This window comes from Homo sapiens, chromosome 6 (assembly GCF_000001405.40).
Source record: "Homo sapiens chromosome 6, GRCh38.p14 Primary Assembly".
NCBI lineage: Eukaryota > Metazoa > Chordata > Mammalia > Primates > Hominidae > Homo > Homo sapiens.
In genome coordinates, this window is record NC_000006.12 from 168,980,735 (window position 1) to 168,999,408 (window position 18,674).

The 18,674-nt window shown below is 43.5% G+C and overlaps 1 long non-coding RNA gene across 2 annotated transcripts in view; it reads left to right on the forward strand.

The window, feature by feature from the left end:
• The window catches only part of LOC105378145 (uncharacterized), a 59,736-nt gene that overhangs the window by 16,359 nt on the left and 24,703 nt on the right, over positions 1-18,674 (forward strand). For both annotated transcript variants that reach the window (XR_943300.3, XR_943299.3), the window contains exon 3: positions 9,590-9,680. This is a non-coding gene — a long non-coding RNA (uncharacterized LOC105378145). The remainder of the gene's footprint in view (positions 1-9,589; positions 9,681-18,674) is intronic.

Sequence of the window (18,674 nt, forward strand, 5' to 3'; positions counted from 1 at the left end):
AATCTAATAAAGCTCCAGTAACCTATCCCAAAGAAATAGAGACCTAGAAATTACTTGACAATAAATTCAAAATAATCACCTTAATGAAGCTTAATGAGGTATAAAAAACACATATATACAACTAAACAAAAATCAGAAAAACAATGCATGGATAAAATGAGAATAAATAAACCAAAACCATAAAAAGAACAAATTCGAAATCCTGGAACTGAAGAATTCAATGACAGACTGAAAATTTAATGGAGAACTTCAACAGCAGACTCAGTCATATAGAGGAAAGACTCAGTATACTTGAAGACAGGTTCTTTGACATTAGCCAGTTAGAGGAAACAATAGAAAAACATTGGAGAAAGCATATAAAGCCTATGGGACACCATCAAACCAACAAATATAAACATTATGGAGGTTCCAGAAGGAAATAAGAGAGAGAAAGGGACAGGAAACTTATTTAAAGAAATTATTGGTAAAACTTCCCAAATTTTGGAAGAGATATGGACATCCAAATTCATGAGTCTCAATTATTGCCAATAAAAAAATCCAAAGAAAATTACTCTGAGACACTTTATATATAAACTGTCAAAACTCAAAGACAAAAATAACTTAGAAAGAAGCAAGAGAAAAGCTACTCATCACGTACAAGACAACTGTCACAAGGTTATCAGCAAATTTTTCAGACAAAATTTTGCAGGTGAGGGGGAAAGGGATAACACATAATCGTTTTAATGTGTTGGACTTAAAGAAAAAACTTCCTACCAAAAATACTTTACCTGAAAAAAACTGACCTTCAGAAATGAAGGAGACATAAAAACATTCCCAGACAAACTAAAGGTGAGGGAGATAATCACTACTAAACATGCCTTACAGGAAATGCTAAAAAAGGTTCTTCAAGTTTATTTGAAAGGATGCCAGGTAACAACGTGAAAACATATGGAAGTATAAAACTCACTTTAATGGAAAGAATATAGTCAAATCAGAATTCTCTGTTAGTGTAATGGGGGTGTATAATTACTTTTACTGTAATAAAAATGTTTAAGATAAAAGTATTAAAATAACTATAACTATAATAATTTGTTAATGAACATACAATATATAAAACATGTAAATTGTGATATCAACACCATTAAATGTGAGTGGAGAGGTTAAAATGTAGAGTTTTTATATGTAGACTATTTATAAGTTGTTTTATTTACCTCCTGGTAATCACACAATTAAAAAAAAGCACAGTAGATACACAAAAGAAAAAGAGAAGAGATGCAAACATATCACTACAAAAAATCATCAAATCATAAAGAAAAACAGCAAGAGGGGAGAAATGAAACAAAGATCTTTAGGATAAACAGAAAACAATTAACAAAGTGGCAGTAGTAAGTCCTTACATGTCAATAACTACTTTAAATGTACATGGATTGAATTCTCCAATCAAAAACATAAGTGGCTAAATGAGTACTTTTTAAAAAATTCAACTATATGGTACCTCCAAGAGACTTACTTTAACTTTGATGACACATATTGGTTGAAAGTGAAAAAATGCAAAAAGATATTCCATGCATGTGGTAACCAAAAGAGAGAAGGAGTGGCTATACTTGTACAAAACAGAATAGACCTTAAGTAAAAAGTATCACAAGACACAAAGTAGTCATCATGTAATAATAAAGAGGTCAATTCATTAATAGATTATAACAACTACAAGTACATATGCACTCAACGTTGGAACACTTAAGTATATAAATATATAGCCAAGACACTCTGGGGAATGAAGAACAAAGCCCGAGGCATTAGGGTTCCTGATAGCGAACTGCATTTTAAAGCCTTAATATGATACAGCATTACAAAGCAATATGATACTGTCATAAAAACAGACACACAGACTAATGGAACAGAATAGAGAGAACTGAAATAAACCCACACACATATTCTACTAAGTAATTTTTGGTCAGGGTGCCAAGCATACACAGTGTGGAAAGGATAGTCTCTTCAAATAAATGGTGTTTGGAAAAGTGAATATCCACAAGCAAAACAAAAGCAAAAACAAATTAAGCCCTTGTCTTACACCACACACACAAAAAATAACTCAAAAGGAAATGAATTTCAGACTTAAATGTAAGATCTGGAATAATAAAACTGTTAGGCAAAAACATAGGGAAAAATCTTCTTGACACTGATTGTGGCAATGAATTTAGTTATGTCACGAAGAACGCAAGCATTGCAAACAAAATACACAAGCAAGGCTGCACCCAAATCTTCTGCACATGAAACGTTTTCATCAGCACGTAGAACATTCCCAGAATAGACTATATCTTTGATCACAAAACAAGTCTGAACACATTTTAAAAGGAGAAATAATATTAAAAATCATTTCCAACCACAACAGAATAAAACTGGCAATCAATAACAAGAGGAGCTTGTTGGAAACTTTGCAAACGCGTGGAAATTAAACAATGTCCTCCTGAATGACCAATGAGTCAATGAAGAACATAAGAAGAAAATTTTAAAATTTCTTGAAGCAAATGAAAATGGACATACAACATACCAAAGCCTCCGGGATACAGCAAAAGCAGTACTAACAAGGAAGTTTATAGCAATAAAAGCTTATATCAAAAACTAGCAATACTTCAAATAAACAACCTAATAATGCACCTCAAGGAGATAGAGAAGCTAGAACAGACCAAATCCAAAATTAATAGAGGGAAAGACATAATAAAAATCAGCGCAGAGATAAATGAAGTTGAGACTAAAGTAAAATACAAAAGTTCAACATAATAGAAAGTTGGTTTTTTGAAAAGATAAACAAAATTGACAAATCTTTGGCTGGACTTAAATAAAACAGAGAAGATTCAAATAACATTAGAAACAAGAAAGAAGCCATTTCTGAGACCACAGAAATACAGTCATTAGAGACTATTTTGAACAACTATATGCCAACAAAATGGAAAAATCTTGAAGAAATGAATAAATTCCTAGAAATACACAACCTACCAAAATTGAACCATAAAGAAATAGAAAACCTCAACAAACAAATAAGAAGTAACAAAATCGAAGCTGTAATAAAAGTCTCTCATCAAAGAAAAGCCCAGGACCTAATGGTGACGTGCACCTGTGGTTCCAGCTACTTAGGAGGCTGAAGCAGGAGGATGACTTGAGCCTGAGAGGTCAAAGCTGCAGTGAGCCATGTTTGTACCACTGTACTCCAGCCAGCCTGGCCGTGCTCACAACCAAAGAAAAAGAAAACACCAAACAAACCCGATTTATATAATGAAATATTATTTAGCCTCAAAATAAAATAAAATATTGCCATTTGCAATAACATGACTAGATCCAGAAGACAATTTGCTAAGTGAAATAAGCCAGATACAGAAAGACAAATACTGTAGCATCTCATTTATGTGTGGAATGTAAAAATGTCAGACTCGTAGAAATGAAGAGTATAATGCTGGTTGTCGGGGGCTGCTTACTGGGAGGATGTTGGTAAAAGGTACAAACTGTCAGTTATAAGATAGATTCATTTTGGGGATCTAATGTATAGCATGGTGACTATAGTTAATAACAGTGTATTATATTTGAGGTTTGCTTAGACAGAAGATTTTAGGTGTTCTCGCCACACACACACACACACACAATGGCAACTATGTGATGTGATGGGTGTGTTAATTAGCTTGATTGTGGTAATCATTTCACAATGTATACATGTATTATCACCTTGTATGTATTAAGTATATATACATGTTGTCAATTACGCCTCAATAAAGCTAAAACAAGAGTGACATTATATAATGATCAATTCTTTGCAAAGAAAACAAGTATGCACCTAATAAAAGATCTTCGAGTTATGTGAGGCAGAAACTAATGTAACAACGAAGAGAAATCAACAAATGCACTGCTACACTGGCGATTTTAAGCACCTCTGTTTAGTAGCAGCAGAGTATTAACCAGGTGGGATTAAAATACAATTAATTATAGAAAGATAGCTGAAATGCTTCAAAATATTTGAAAATTAAGCAATGTGCTACTAAATTACATATCTGTTAAACATGAAGTCCCAAGAGAAATTAAGACAAACGTTCAACAATGAAAATGAAAATAGAAATTACAAAATTTTGTGGGAAGAAAAAAAAACAGTGCTTAGAAAAATTTGTAGCATTGACTCTATATCTTAGAAAAAAAGGACAACTCTGAAATCAATAATCTAACCTTCCTCAGTGGGAGACTAGAGAAATATGGGCGATTTAAACATGAAGCAACTGGAGAAAATAAAATTTTAAAAGTCAAAGCAGAAATCAGTGAAATTCATATCAGGAATACAATAGAGAAAAACAATGAAACAAAAGCTGTTTCTTTGAACAGACCAATAAAATTGATATAATTATAGCCAGCTGACCAAGAAAAAAAAGGAGCGAAGACACAAGTTACCCACATGAGAAATGAAGGAGTAGAGTCCACTACAAATCTCACGAACAGTAACAGGATAGTAAAAGAATCCTATAAACAACTATACCCAGTGAATCTATCACTTTGATGAAATGGGCTGCTATGTTGAAATACACAAACTACAAAAACTTATTCAAAGATAAATGATCTCAATGCGCATATATCCATTAAAAAATTGAATCAATAATTAATAACTATTCAACAAAGAAAACAAAGTCAAGATGGTTTTATAGGTGAGTCCCACCAACCCTTTAAGTAAGAAGTGATGCCAATTCTCTGTCATGTCTTTCAGAAAATAGAAACAGAGATCTCACTTCCTACCTCTCATAATTCTATGTGATCAGGATTACACTAAGGGCAAAGCCAGATGAAAACATTATCAGAAGGGAAACCAGAGGCCATTATCTCTCAGCACCCCACTGAGGGACTTGTTAAAGGGGGACAGGAGCCAACTGAAAGGGGTCCCAGTGGCTAAGCTAGAAGTATTTGAAACAAAACAAAAGTAGTAATGGATTATAACCAAAAGTATAACATATATATCCATGATTCCATAAAAATATAAACAAATGATTAAATAAGTAAATAAATATGAAGGAAGGCAAATTTCCCTGCAGAAGCATTCCCAATAACAGGTAGATAACCCACCCTCAATGGGGGGAAGCACCAACCCTCATTGCTTAAGTATGGATGGCACATAGTGACTTCCTTCGAAAGAATGTGCACAGGGAGGAAGTACAGTGACATCACAGTGGAGAAGCCCAGGAAATCCCTCCTCCGCCAGGTGATCAAGGTGAACGTCAACAGTGATGAATCATGTTGTTTGTACATAACCAGAGTATAATGGGATGGAAATGTCTCTTCACTTCTGTGGTCTTCCTCATACACACAGACAAAATCCGAAAGCCCTGTCCAACCATCAGAAAACACTAGACAAATTTCAATAGAGAGGCATTCGACAAAGCACCCAGCCAGTGCTCCTCAGAGCTGTCAAGGTCATCGAGACAAGGAATGCTCGAGAAACTTTCACAGCTGAGAGGAAGCCGGGAGACCTGAGGACTCGGTAGCATGTGGGATCCTGGGCAGGGTGGGGAAACAGAAGAAGACCTCAAGTAAAAACCAAGGACATCTGAATGAAGTACAACTTGAGTTGTTAAGAATATATCAGTATTGGTCCATTAATTGCCACATGCACCATACTAAAGTAAGATGGAAGAAAAAAGAAATGAAAATGAAATCACTAACACACATTTACCATTTAAAGCCTTTGTTCTTGTTATAAATTTCATAATATAATGAGGTGATTAATACCTTTATTCTTGTATATTAGAAAAAATAGGCTCACAGAGGGTTATTGATGTGCTTAGTGTAGGGTTTGTGAGTAGGACTTAGGTCTAGCTAACACCAGGGTCATTGCCCTTAATTTCTCCTATTTTGTAAACTCTATTTTTTAAATATTCAAGTTTTGCCAGGCCAAAATACAATATTGCTGATCCGTACTGAGTCCTTATTCTGAGCACTGTTCTGACACTCGCTCATTTGATCGCTGCAAACCCTAGGAGATGGCATGGTTATTTTTTCAATATTTCAACTGATGCCATTAAACACAGTTTGGTTAACTTTCCAAAAGGTCACAATGGCTGTAAATAGCATAAAGATTACAAAGTGCCAGACGTTTGAGACCAGCCTGGCCAACATGGTGAAACCCCATCTCTACTAAAAATACAAAAATTATCCGGGCTTGGTGGTGCATGCCTGTAAACCCAGCTACTCAGGAGGCTGAGGCAAGAGAATTGCTTGAACCTGGGAGGCAGAGGTTGCCATGAGCCGAGATTGTGCCACTGCACTCCAGCCTGGGTGACAAGAGCGAAACTCTGGCTCAACAGAGGGAGACTCCACCTCAAAAAATAAATAAATAATACAGTGCCGGGATTCAGACCTGGGCTGCCTGGCTCCAAAGTCATGACTCTCCCTTACTCCAGAAGAGCAACATTTCTAGGATGAGAAATGGCCCATTTAGAAAGCTCGTGGAGAGAAGGTGTGTTGCTTTCTGTGTGCTTTTTCCCTCTGATTCATTTCTCTTCCATCTATGTTTGTCTGATCAGTGTTATTGTGCATGCGTGTGTATGCACGTAACTCTGTGCACATACTTGTATGTGTATGCATGCATCACGTGTGCATCTGTACATGCATTTTAGTGGTACATTGCATTTGTGTCAAGTTTTAGTGAACACATTTATTAAGGACATGTGAGAATTTATTTGAGGATGATTATACTGAGAATTTTGCTTCAGAATTTTGACTGTGCTGCAAGGTCCCACTGTATTCCTTAGCTTTCTATTCTATTCCACTGATCTAGCTGCACCTGTATCATAAAATTCACATTTAAAAATAATGGTTTTATAATGTTTTAAGTGGCATCATTCAGACAGTTGAGGGAGAAAACAGTTGTTTGGCATGAACAGAGCACTTACTCTGTTACAAGATACATGTTTGGTCCTGGCTGTTTTGTGGCCTTTGTGGCATTGCATAAATACAAGTTTTAATATTCTTATCTTTAAAATATAGAAAATAATACCTATTTCATGGTATGCTTTACAAATTAAATAAATCAAAGAATTTGAATGTGGTAAAGAGCATGGTGAATTCTACATTCATATGATAAATTATTATGAAGGGATAATACATAGCTATAATTTATGTCAACTGTCAATGTTTATTGTATTATTAAATTTTCTGACATGGCTGAGGAGGAGCAAAGGAAAATCAAAACCCAGGTGTTTGGTAATAGCACCATGAGCGCTGGCTCTCTGGACCCCTCGGGTGGTAGCATAAATTTGTGTTACCAGTGGCTGCAGGAGAGGAAACTTGGTGGGAAGCCATTTTATTTGAGGGTGGCTCTGAGATGGAGATTCCGAGGTTCAAAGTTGTAAATAGACTTGGGGAAGTGACTTTTGTTAAACTGATAAACAATTGTATTGCTAAAGAGCAAGAGAAGTACTCAGTCACAATTTTATCCCTAGATCCACGTTAATGTGGGTAATTGATCAATTCAAAGGAACTAGTGACAATCAGGGCCACCTGGCCTGAGAGTGACCCCTTCACTCTGGGCTGATGGCGTCTGGTGGGACAGGCCTCTTTTTTTATTTCAGGAGCCTTGCAGGGAGTCACATAAGGTGGTTCCTTTTGGACGAATGCAATCCCCAGGTCACAAATTTTGAATACTCAGAACTTGAGGTCTCAGGCTCCAAGAAACATTGGTTTCAAAACTGTTCGACACGGTTCACTTCAATGGACATTCCTCTTAAGTCGGCAGTACTAAGAATAGTGTCGTGTCCTCCGAGCAGAGTCTGAACATGTTTGCCAGCACACTTCCATCCTTCCCTAGCTTTGGAGATGGGGCAAGAGACTTGGGCTATAAAGCAGAAAATTTTACTTACTCATAAATTTTTGAAAATGGTTTCCAGAGAGGAAAATGACCATTCTCATGACTAAAATGTAAGCCAAATCAAGCCTTAGTCTAGCAAGATGTCAGTAGTAATGGTCCAGTCTTTTCATCAGTGTGTTTTATTTTTTCTTCTCTTTTCATTAGCACAATTGTCTACAAACATCTTCCCATAGGTTCGATTCAACTCAGCACATCCTTAAATGCTGCTGTCTCCCTCCTCACTGTATCCACAAATTCACTCTCAGTCTTTTGCACTCTCTTACTTTCTCTCTCTTCCACTACTGCTTTGAAAAGTCTGTTTAAAGACGTTAAAATCTTTGTAAAAATACTGATAATACTTCTCATTTCCATGTGCTGTAATACCCATTGAATACACTGACTATCTTGTGATGAGTTGGCTGCCTGCAATTGGCTAAAGTCCAACTGCTTGCAATTGGCTAAAACCTGGCTGTTACAAAACAATATACTACCAAGTTCAATGTCTGTGTGCTTAAGTACTAAATTAGGTTGCAGTTTGTTACCCAGGAACTCAAAATACATATACGGCACAGGTTAAAGGCCTTCTGCTAGTGTAACCTCACAAGAGTAAAATACAGAAGGGAGGGTGACAATGACATTTCAAACCCACGCAACATACTTGAAATTATGTTTTTCCCAGAAATAGGAGCTCTCATTCTTTCATTAATGACATTGGTGAGAGATTTATTTCCAAAGGTAATTTCAGTTGGTTGTATTCTTTTCATATCTGTGCACAGAAAATCCTTTCTGTCCAACTCTAGTTCATCCAAGATTGAACTAAGGATAAACACATACTTGAACTGCTTTTAAAGTTTAGCTCGATGTACAAGGTGCCACTGAAGCTTCTGAAAGAACAGAATAGAGACAAGTTGATCTTTAGCTGCAACAATGAAGGACCTTAGCCCTGCTGTTATCACCTTTCCATCAAAGCGATTCTTCCATGACAACCTTTATTCGGCAAGCTCAGTGAGAAATGATATTTTCATGTTCCTCTTCCCATAGCCTGCTTTAAAAAGGAACATCTCACTTAAGAACTTGCCTCATACCCATGTTTCAGACAAAATAATCTCACAATTATACGGGGTTCCCTGGTGAGGTCATTACCACAGAATTACATAGGGTTGGGTTTTGATTCAAAATGTTTTGAACAGCAGTTTTCTGCTGTAAGTTTTATACGCTTTTAAAAGAACCTGACTATTTTAGGGGAATTGCTTGAACCAGGGAGTCGGAGGTTGCAGTGAGATGGCGCCACTGTACTCCAGCCTGGTGACAGAGCAAGAGTCTGTCTCAAAAAAAAAAAAAAAAAACAACAAAAAAAAGAACTTGCCTATTTTATTTTCCCATCCATTTCCATTTCTTTTCTATCTTCTTTTAAAATTCATTAGTACTATGTGCCTGTTTCTCTATGTATCTCGTCACACATTTATCACCAGCAGTGGCCTTCTCCAACCACTCGCAGTTATTTTAATGCAATTTTTATAAAGGCATATAATAATGTGTTCCAAGGCCCTGCTCCAAGCCTTTTACAACTATTAAGTAATTCTGTCTTTCGTGGCTGAATTCATTTCCACAGTACATACGCTGCCACTTCTGCTCAGAAACTGAGCTGGAGTCAGGAAATTCTTTTCATTATGGGATAAGCTGGCTTGTTCTACCCCCAAGTTTAAATCTGAGGATGAATCTAGTTTTTTCTTTTTCCAGCTGGGATACAGCAAACATACAGCAAAGTCTACACAAATCTCTAGCTGATAAAGAACAGTACAAGCAGCACCTGTGCCAAGACCCCCAGAAGGTATCGTCTCTCCTCCTCCCAGATGGAGCCTCCCCTCTGAGGCCTGCCGCCATCAACACGCAGGTCGTAGGTTCCTAGAAACCAGTCCCTGAACTCAGACCCTACCACGCACCAGCCTGAGTTCGCAAACAGACAAGCCTTTGGAGCCAGTCGCTCCACACTGGGGACGCTGTGGGCCTGGAGCCCGTTACTCAGGCGCTCCACACAGGGGCGTTGTGGGCCTGGAGCCCGTTACTCAGGCGCTCCACACAGGGGCGCTGTGGGCCTGGAGCCCGTTACTCAGGTGCTCCACACAGGGGCGCTCCACACAGGGGCGCTCCACACAGGGGCGCTGTGGGCCTGGGGCCCGTTACTCAGGTGCTCCACACAGGGGCGCTCCACACAGGGGCGCTGTGGGCCTGGGGCCCGTTACTCAGGTCTCCACACAGGGACGCTGTGGGCCTGGAGCCCGTTACTCAGGCGCTCCACACAGGGGCGCTGTGGGCCTGGGGCCCGTTACTCAGGTCTCCACACAGGGACGCTGTGGGCCTGGAGCCCGTTACTCAGGCGCTCCACACAGGGGCGCTGTGGGCCTGGGGCCCGTTACTCAGGTCTCCACACAGGGACGCTGTGGGCCTGGAGCCCGTTACTCAGGCGCTCCACACAGGGGCGCTCCACACAGGGGCGCTGTGGGCCTGGGGCCCGTTACTCAGGTCTCCACACAGGGGCGTTCCACACGGGCGCTGTGGGCCTGGAGCCCGTTACTCAGGTGCTCCACACAGGGGCACTCCACACAGGGGCGCTGTGGGCCTGGAGCCCTTTACTCAGGTGCTCCACACAGGGGCGCTCCACACAGGGGCGCTGTGGGCCTGGGGCCCGTTACTCAGGTCTCCACACAGGGGCGTTCCACACGGGCGCTGTGGGCCTGGAGCCCGTTACTCAGGTGCTCCACACAGGGGCGCTCCACACAGGGGCGCTGTGGGCCTGGAGCCAGTTACTCAGGTGCTCCACACAGGGGCGCTCCACACAGGGGCGCTGTGGGCCTGGGGCCCGTTACTCAGGTGCTCCACACAGGGGCGCTCCACACAGGGGCACTGTGGGCCTGGGGCCCGTTACTCAGGTCTCCACACAGGGACGCTGTGGGCCTGGGGCCCGTTACTCAGGTGCTCCACACAGGGGCGCTCCACACAGGGGCGCTGTGGGCCTGGGGCCCGTTACTCAGGTCTCCACACAGGGACGCTGTGGGCCTGTGGCCCGTTACTCAGGTGCTCCACACAGGGGCGCTCCACACAGGGGCGCTGTGGGCCTGGAGCCCGTTACTCAGGTGCTCCACACAGGGGCGCTCCACACAGGGGCGCTGTGGGCCTGGAGCCAGTTACTCAGGTGCTCCACACAGGGGCGCTCCACACAGGGGCACTGTGGGCCTGGGGCCCGTTACTCAGGTCTCCACACAGGGGCGCTCCACACAGGGGCGCTGTGGGCCTGGAGCCCGTTACTCAGGCGCTGCACACGGGGCCGCTGTGGGCCTGGGGCCTGTGACTCAGTTCCCCTGAACTCAGGCTCTCGCAGCTGTAGAGCAAGGGGATGGCTCCCAGTGCTGGGACCTTTGTGTGAATCGCCCTTTCCTGTGTCTGATGCAACTGTCGTCCGTTCTCTTTGCCCATGCTCACTGCATGACCCCGAGGAACGTTACTTTTGGGAGAGGGGGCCTCATCCTCAGAGGGGCAGGCACCGGCATCTCAGCGGGTTCAGGTCCACAGGCAGCTGTACATGTCCCTGCCCCCCAACGTGCCCCTGCCCCCCGGGTGCCCCTGACCCCCACGTGCCCCTGCCCCCCCGTGTGCCCCTGCCCCCCCGTGTGCCCCTGCCCCCCCGTGTGCCTCTGCACCCCATGTGCCCCTGCCCCCCATGTGTCCCTGCCCCCCATGTGTCCCTGCCCCCCATGTGTCCCTGCACCCCGAGCAGCCCCCAACCCCCTGAGCTGCTCTTCCTGCATCGCTGGGACCGCACCTCTCGCCCAGCAGCTCCCAGTCATCTACTAAGCAGAAAATGAGGCGACCTCCCTGGCAATGGACCACTGAGTTCTTGTAACCCACCATCTAACTTGAGCTTTCACGTCTCCTGCCCTTACCCCGCCAGAGCACGTCAACCTCAGTAGGAGTTTAGTCACTGTCTTAGAAAGAGGGCTCCCCGAATTGACCTTTGAAGACAAGACCCATTCACAGACGCAGAAGGGCTGAGCTGCCCTTAGCTGCCGTCTACCACACTCTAGTGGAGAAGATGGATGGCCAATATAATAAATAAGCACACTTTATGGTGCATTATAAAGTGAAGAGGGCTCCAGAGATAAAACAAAGCAGAAGGGTGACTGCGAGTGTTCCTAGCATCTGATATTGTCCTTGACTTAAATGTTACAAAACAAAACTATGTTTAACTAAGTGGGAATATAATCTTTTGAATCTATGTGTCCCATGGAAGATAACATTTAAACAATTTAATGCTCTCATAAAAACGCTTGGTTAACTGCAACATAAGAAATAATGAAAGAGTTATTGATAGGGTCCCCAGGGACACACAGTGAAGTCGTATTTCCAGGATGTAAAAGGCATTCCACTGAGAGATCACTATTGGGACACTCAGAGCCTTGTTTCTTAAGGAATAAATCCTCTGTATGATATCGCTTGCTATGTTCCAATTCTGGAATAGTGCTTAGCACCTAATAGGACTTTAATAAATATTTTTAACCCATAAGTGAATGAGAGGAGAGTATGAAGATGGACGAGAATATCTCATTTTAAACAAGTGCTCTTTAACAGTGAGAATCAGGGGTTATGACTGAGGACAAGGGAACTTCAAATCTGCTTCTTTGTTGAAAGCATGATTTCTGAATTATCTGCAAAGGATTTACATTCTGTCTTCTTTTCATTCTGTTTTTCCTTTTCTTCTTCTTCTTTTTTTTTTTTTTTTTTTTTTTTTTGAGACAGAGTCTTGCTCTGTTGCCCGGGCCGGAGTGTAGCAGCACGATCTTGGCTCCCTGCAGCCTCTGCCTGTTGGGTTGAAGCGGTTCTCCTGCCTCAGCCTCCTGAGTAACTGAAATTATAGGCGCACACCACCACGTCCAGCTAATTGTTGTATTTTTGGAGAGATGGGTTTTTGCCATGTTGGCCAGGCTGTTCTCGAACTCCTGGCCTCAAGTGATTTGCTCACCTCAGCCTCCCAAAGTGCTGGGATTACAAGATGTGAGCCACTGCGCCTGGCCTACATTCTCTCTCTTCTTGGCTAATTTTCAGTTGTGAGTAGACCATTAGCATCATTTGGGTGAGGATTTGTTTATCCTAATGTTTTATTTCATTTTTCTGAGATGGAATCTCGCTCTGTTAAGCAGGCTGGAGTACAGTGGTGCAATCTCAGCTCACTGTAACCTCTGCCTCCCAGGTTGAAGTGATTCTCCTGCCTCAGCCTCCTGAGTAGCTGGGATTACAGGCACTCACCACCATGCCTGGCTAGTTTTTGTATTTTTAGTAGAGACGGGGTTTTGCCATGTTGGCCAGGCTGGTCTTGAACTCCTGACCTCAGGTGATCCACTTGCCTTGGCCTCCCAAAGTGCTGGGATGACAGGTGTGAACCACTGCGTCCGGCCTATCCTAATGTTTTAAAATACCCTAATGATTCGAACCACCTAAGGTGATCAACCTATGTTCAAATGTTTCCATATTTGGGTATGTCTAGAAACCCTATCTGGAGACAGAGATGTCTGTGTGAAGTTACACACTCGTGCTCACACACACCTTGGTGATAATTGTAGCTCAGTATGTTTTGCTGCTTCTGTGGGAAATGAGAGTTTCTTTGCGTGGAGTCACATCTCTTGCACCCATGGCCAGGGCCCAGGGCGTTGCACGCACTCCCAACCCGCACACAGGGCAGGTCCTGGCTGAGGCCTTGGACCGCAGGCTCCACCCCTCCACAACAGCCAGCCCGGGAGAAGCCCTTCTTTCAATTTCCCCTCTAACTCTCTGGGGATGTCTCCCACTAACACTTCTCCCAACTCTAAGGAGATGCTTCCTGGGCTTCTAGCTGCTGTGTGCCCCGCTGCGGTCAGGGGCACTGGTGCACCGAGCTGACACGGGAAACCCAACAAGCACTAACAAAATACAGAGCAGGGGAGTGGGGGGCGCAGGGGGGCGAGGGAGCTGAGAGTGGTGCAGTGAGAGCCCCTGACACATTCATTGTCTACCGAGGTCCTCTTCCCATAAATCTTACTTCTTGTTATTCCATTTGGATTTCAGTTACAACAGAAAACAGGGATTGTGACAAAAATTTGACCCATCACTGCAGTGCCATAGCAAAAGGCCCTGAATATAGCTGAATTGAGGCATGGCCTGCAGCCCTGGTGAGCCTCAGCTCTACCTGGTGAGCCTCTACCCTGGGCCTGTGATGCAGGACAGATGAGCCCCGAAACTGGGGTTTGGCCCGGCAGGGTTCTTGGCTTTACCCAGGAAAGAATTCAAGAGTGAGCCAGTGGTGTTAGACAGCAACCATTCCTGCACGGTGCTGCATCTGGCTGAGCAGGGCTGACCGTGGGCAGGCAGTGTGTGGCTCCGGCACCTGTATTTTTACTCACTTATACCCACTTTTAATTACATGCAAGTTAGGGGCGGGCCAATGCCAATGGAGGGGCAGGTTGTTCAGAACTTTCCAGGAAAGGGGCAGTAACTTCCAGATCATGGCTGTGGAAAGCAGGGGTGACGTCCAGGTCATTGCCATGGCATTTGTAAACTGTCATGCCACTGGTGGGAGTGTCTTATGCCAATGAGTAATGACGGCAGCCAGGGATCTCTTTCCTTACCACCTCCTGGTTCCTGTGGTTTCTTCACATCTGGACCAGGTCCTATTTGGGCCAGCAGGGTTGTGACCAGAAAATAAGCCCTGCCACTGTCCCATCTCAGGTGTCCCATCTCACCTCTCCTGGTCACCAGGTGTGCTATCTCATCTCACCTCTCCTGGTCACCAGGCGTCCCATCTCACCTCACCTCTCCTGGTCATCAGGCGTCCCATCTCACCTCACCTCTCCTGGTCACCAGGCGTCCCATCTCACCTCTCCTCGTCACCAGATGTCCCATCTCACCTCTCCTGAACCAGGCTTCCCATCTCACCTCTCCTGGTCACCAGGAGCCTGGAGGGCATCATGCCACCTACCAGCCGCTCTTCTACACTGGGTGTGCAGCCACACTGAGTGGCCAACAAATGGGAAGGCAGGTGACATCACCCATTTTACTCATGGAACCTCGGCTACACAGGCCAAGAAAATGCCTGCAGGAACGCTGACGTCAAGATGCTAAGGAAGATCCCTGTGTTTCCAGAGCTGGGTGCTTCCCACTACACCGGTCCCTCGTGCGGAGGAACAGGAAGTACGCTCATGAGTGAGTACTGCGGATCCACCACACGGGACCTGCCTATGGCACGGGCTGTTCAAGATCACAGGCCTCACAGAAAGCAAGCTGAGGCCCGGCAGGACTTGAAGATGCATTCACTAGGTCCCGAGAGCCCCGCTCCGGAGGCCATACCGCACTCGGCACTCCACATGTCATAAAGTGCAGTTGTGTTTAATAGATAAAAGTACTATATGTGTATCTATTTCGTGGATGAGGTTTACACCAGGGTGTCCAGTCTTGGCTTCCCTGGGCCACAATGGAGGAGGAAGAATCGTCTTGGGCCACACATGAAATATACTAACACTAACAACAACTGATGAGTTAAAACAAAACAAAACAAAATCTCAGCATGTTTTAAGGACGTTTATGAATTTGTGTTGGGCCACATTCAAAGCCGTGCTGGGATGCATGCGGAGCACGGGCCATGGGCTGGACGAGCTCGGTGGAGACGAATGTGGAGGATGTGACTCTGGAGATGACCAAGCAAGAGGAGGGAAGGTCTTCCTGGACCCGCCCCGAGGCATTCGCAGGGTTGGAACCCCTCAGCCCCGTGCAGCTGAGGGCCTGGAGCCGAGAAGTTTCCATTCGACGGTAACCACAACGGGGAGTGTTCGTCTCCCGGACGTTATGAAGCACTTTTATGTGAGCCTCCAAGTCTGCCTCCAGTGTCAGACCCTTTCTGGCGTGGGGGCTCTCCTACTTCCACTAACATCTGTTGATAGGCTGGGTGAAACCAGCAGCCTTTCATTTTCAACAAAATGCACCTCAGCCTATTTTTGAAAGGTTCTGGCAAGTATTTTCTGCATAAAATTTCTTTTTCCTTCACCACTGCATTTGCTGAGAATATCAAGCCATGTGTATTTGATTAAGTTACGATTAACATTTTGAAGAAGCTCTTTATAAGAAATGATTAATGAGGAGAAATCCTTGGAAATTTTTTTCTTTGAACCAAATCTTCCCATTTGGTCAAATGAAATGAAACTTGAAATCAGTTTCTTAAATTGATTATACAATTAGCACTGTATATTTGACTAAATGCAAAAAGATTTAAAATTCAATAAGCAACATAAATTATACATAGTAAATTATTCTACATTTTCAAATTTTTTATTTTAAAATAACAAACTCCACTATTATGACTTATGAAATGAAATTTATTTAAGTCAGTAACTGTGACTGTACATCTCACAAAAATTAAATTACTTCTAAATTCAGCAATAAATTTTAAGTACACAATTATAGTCTCAGACTATAAATTGAAATCTCTCAAAGTACAAAGTATGAATAGAATAACCAAAAATTGATGATTTGAAGGAGTCAAATTTGAGTTCTCCTGAATGCTGAGGGTAGAGCAGCAATTTTGATTATGCCGGAATATTAGGGCTGGGAGCGGTGGCTCTCGCCTGTAATCCCAGTACTTTGGGATGCCAAGGTGGGCAGATCACCTGAGGTCAGGAGTTCGAGACCAGCCTGACCAACATAGTGAAACCCTGTCTCTACTAAAAATACCAACAAAAAATATTAACCAGGTGTGTTGACAGGCACCTGTAATCCCAGCTATTTGGAAGGCTGAGTCAGGAGAATTGCTTGAACCCAGGAGGCGGAGGTTGCAGTGATTTGAGATTGCGCCACTGCACTCCAGCCTGGGTTACAGAGCGAGACTCTGTGTCAAAAAAAAAAAAAAAAGAAAAAGAAAAAAGAAAAAAAAAAGATTATACCTGAATAGATCTGGGATAAGACTTGGTGGGCCCGGGAGTGCCTGCACACTCTTCATGCCTGGATGTCTTTTCTGGGCCCTGAACAAGCATTTCTATCCCTCAATTACATCCCTCAATTTCCACTTTCTCCTCAATTTCCTGTCATAACCTCAAAATTAACATGTTTAGTTTGTACAATATCTCCCTTTTTTTATTTTTATTTTTATTTTTTTTGAGACTGGGTCTCTCTCTATCCCCCAGGCTGGAGTGAGGTGGCACAATCTCAACTCACTGCAACCTCTGCCTCCTGGGCTCAAGGAATCCCCCTTCCTCAGCCTCCCAAGTATCTGGGACTATAGGTGAGTGCTACCACGCCTGGCTAATTTTTTTTATTCTTATTGTAGAGGCAAGGTCTTGCTATATTTCCCAGGCTGGTGTTGAACTCCTGGACTCAAAGGATCTGCCTGCCTTGGCCTCCCAAAGTGCCAGGATTACAGGTGTGAGGCACTGCACCCAGCCCAATATTTCCCTCATTCTTAAACAAAATTCTTGCCTTATTTCTCTGCTGATAAACTGTAAATTCACTTAAACAAGATTGTTCTCTTAATCTTAAACAAGATTCTCCCCTTGATTTCTCTGTTGATAAACTGTAAATTCGCTGCTAGCTATTTGTATTGCCACACATTCATCCAGTTGAAGTGCACAGCTTAGCGCATGTTTTCTTTTTGTCTTTACTCACATGTCCTCATCTCGGTGATTTCTCTATGACCAGTTATTTAAATCTTCAGTATCTTTTCTCGATGGTTTGTATGTCCTATCTCTTCTTTACCATTTCCCTTGATGCTTGTCGTTAACAAATCTGCCCCTGTTCTCCGGTTTTTAATCCAGCATCCCTCAATGAGATCAACGTTTTTGTCTGTGTTGCTCACTGCACCCTCAGAACACAGAACAGTGGCTGGCACATAATAAACACTCAACAAACATTGATTAACTGGAAACCTGGGAGTGATTATAGCAATGGGTCCTGCACAGGACCGACTGGATTTGGGGGTTGGAAAGTAAGTGCTGAACCTGTCAGGAGTAGTCTCAGTGAAATAGTGTGGTTAAGACGAAAGGAAGGAGGGGGAGGAGAGAATCAGTGGATGCTGAAAACCTACGCAAACTTCCTATGGTATGGAGGAGAGTGGTGTGTTGAGTGGTAACTAAGAAGAGAGGTAAGATCAGGGGAGGTGTTCTTATGGATGGATGCGCTTGAACACGCTTAGTGTCTGTATTAGTCAGGGTTCTCTAGAGGGACAGAACTAATAGGGTAGATGTATACATAAAGGGGTGATTATTAAGAGAACTGACACATACAATCACAAGGTGAGGCCCCACAGTAGGCCATCTGCAAGCTGAGGAGCAAGGGAGCCAGTTTGGGCCCCAAAGCTGAAGAACTTGGAGTCCGATGTTTGAGGGCAGGAAGCATCCAGCGCGGGAGAAAGACGCAGGGTCAGAGGCTCAGCCAGTCTAGTTTGTTCACGTTCTTCTGCCTGCTTTAATTCTGACCATGCTGGCAGCTGATCAGATGGTGCCCACCCAGATTGAGGGTGGGTCTGCCTCTCTCAGCCCACTGCTCAAATGTGAATCTCCTTTGGCGACACGCTCAAAGACACACCCGGGAACAGTACTTTGCATCCTTCAATCCAATCCAGTTGACACTCAGTGTTAACCATCACAGTGCTGACGAGAAGTTGTTAGAAATGAAGAGGTTGAGAGGAGAAAGACAGATCACAACTGAATGAACCAAAGGTCTGAGGCGAAAGGAAGGGAGCTCGGGAGGCACAGGGTGGGATCAACCTAAAGGAAGGAGGGAAGACCAAAAAAAAAAAATCTAAGTAACTTTT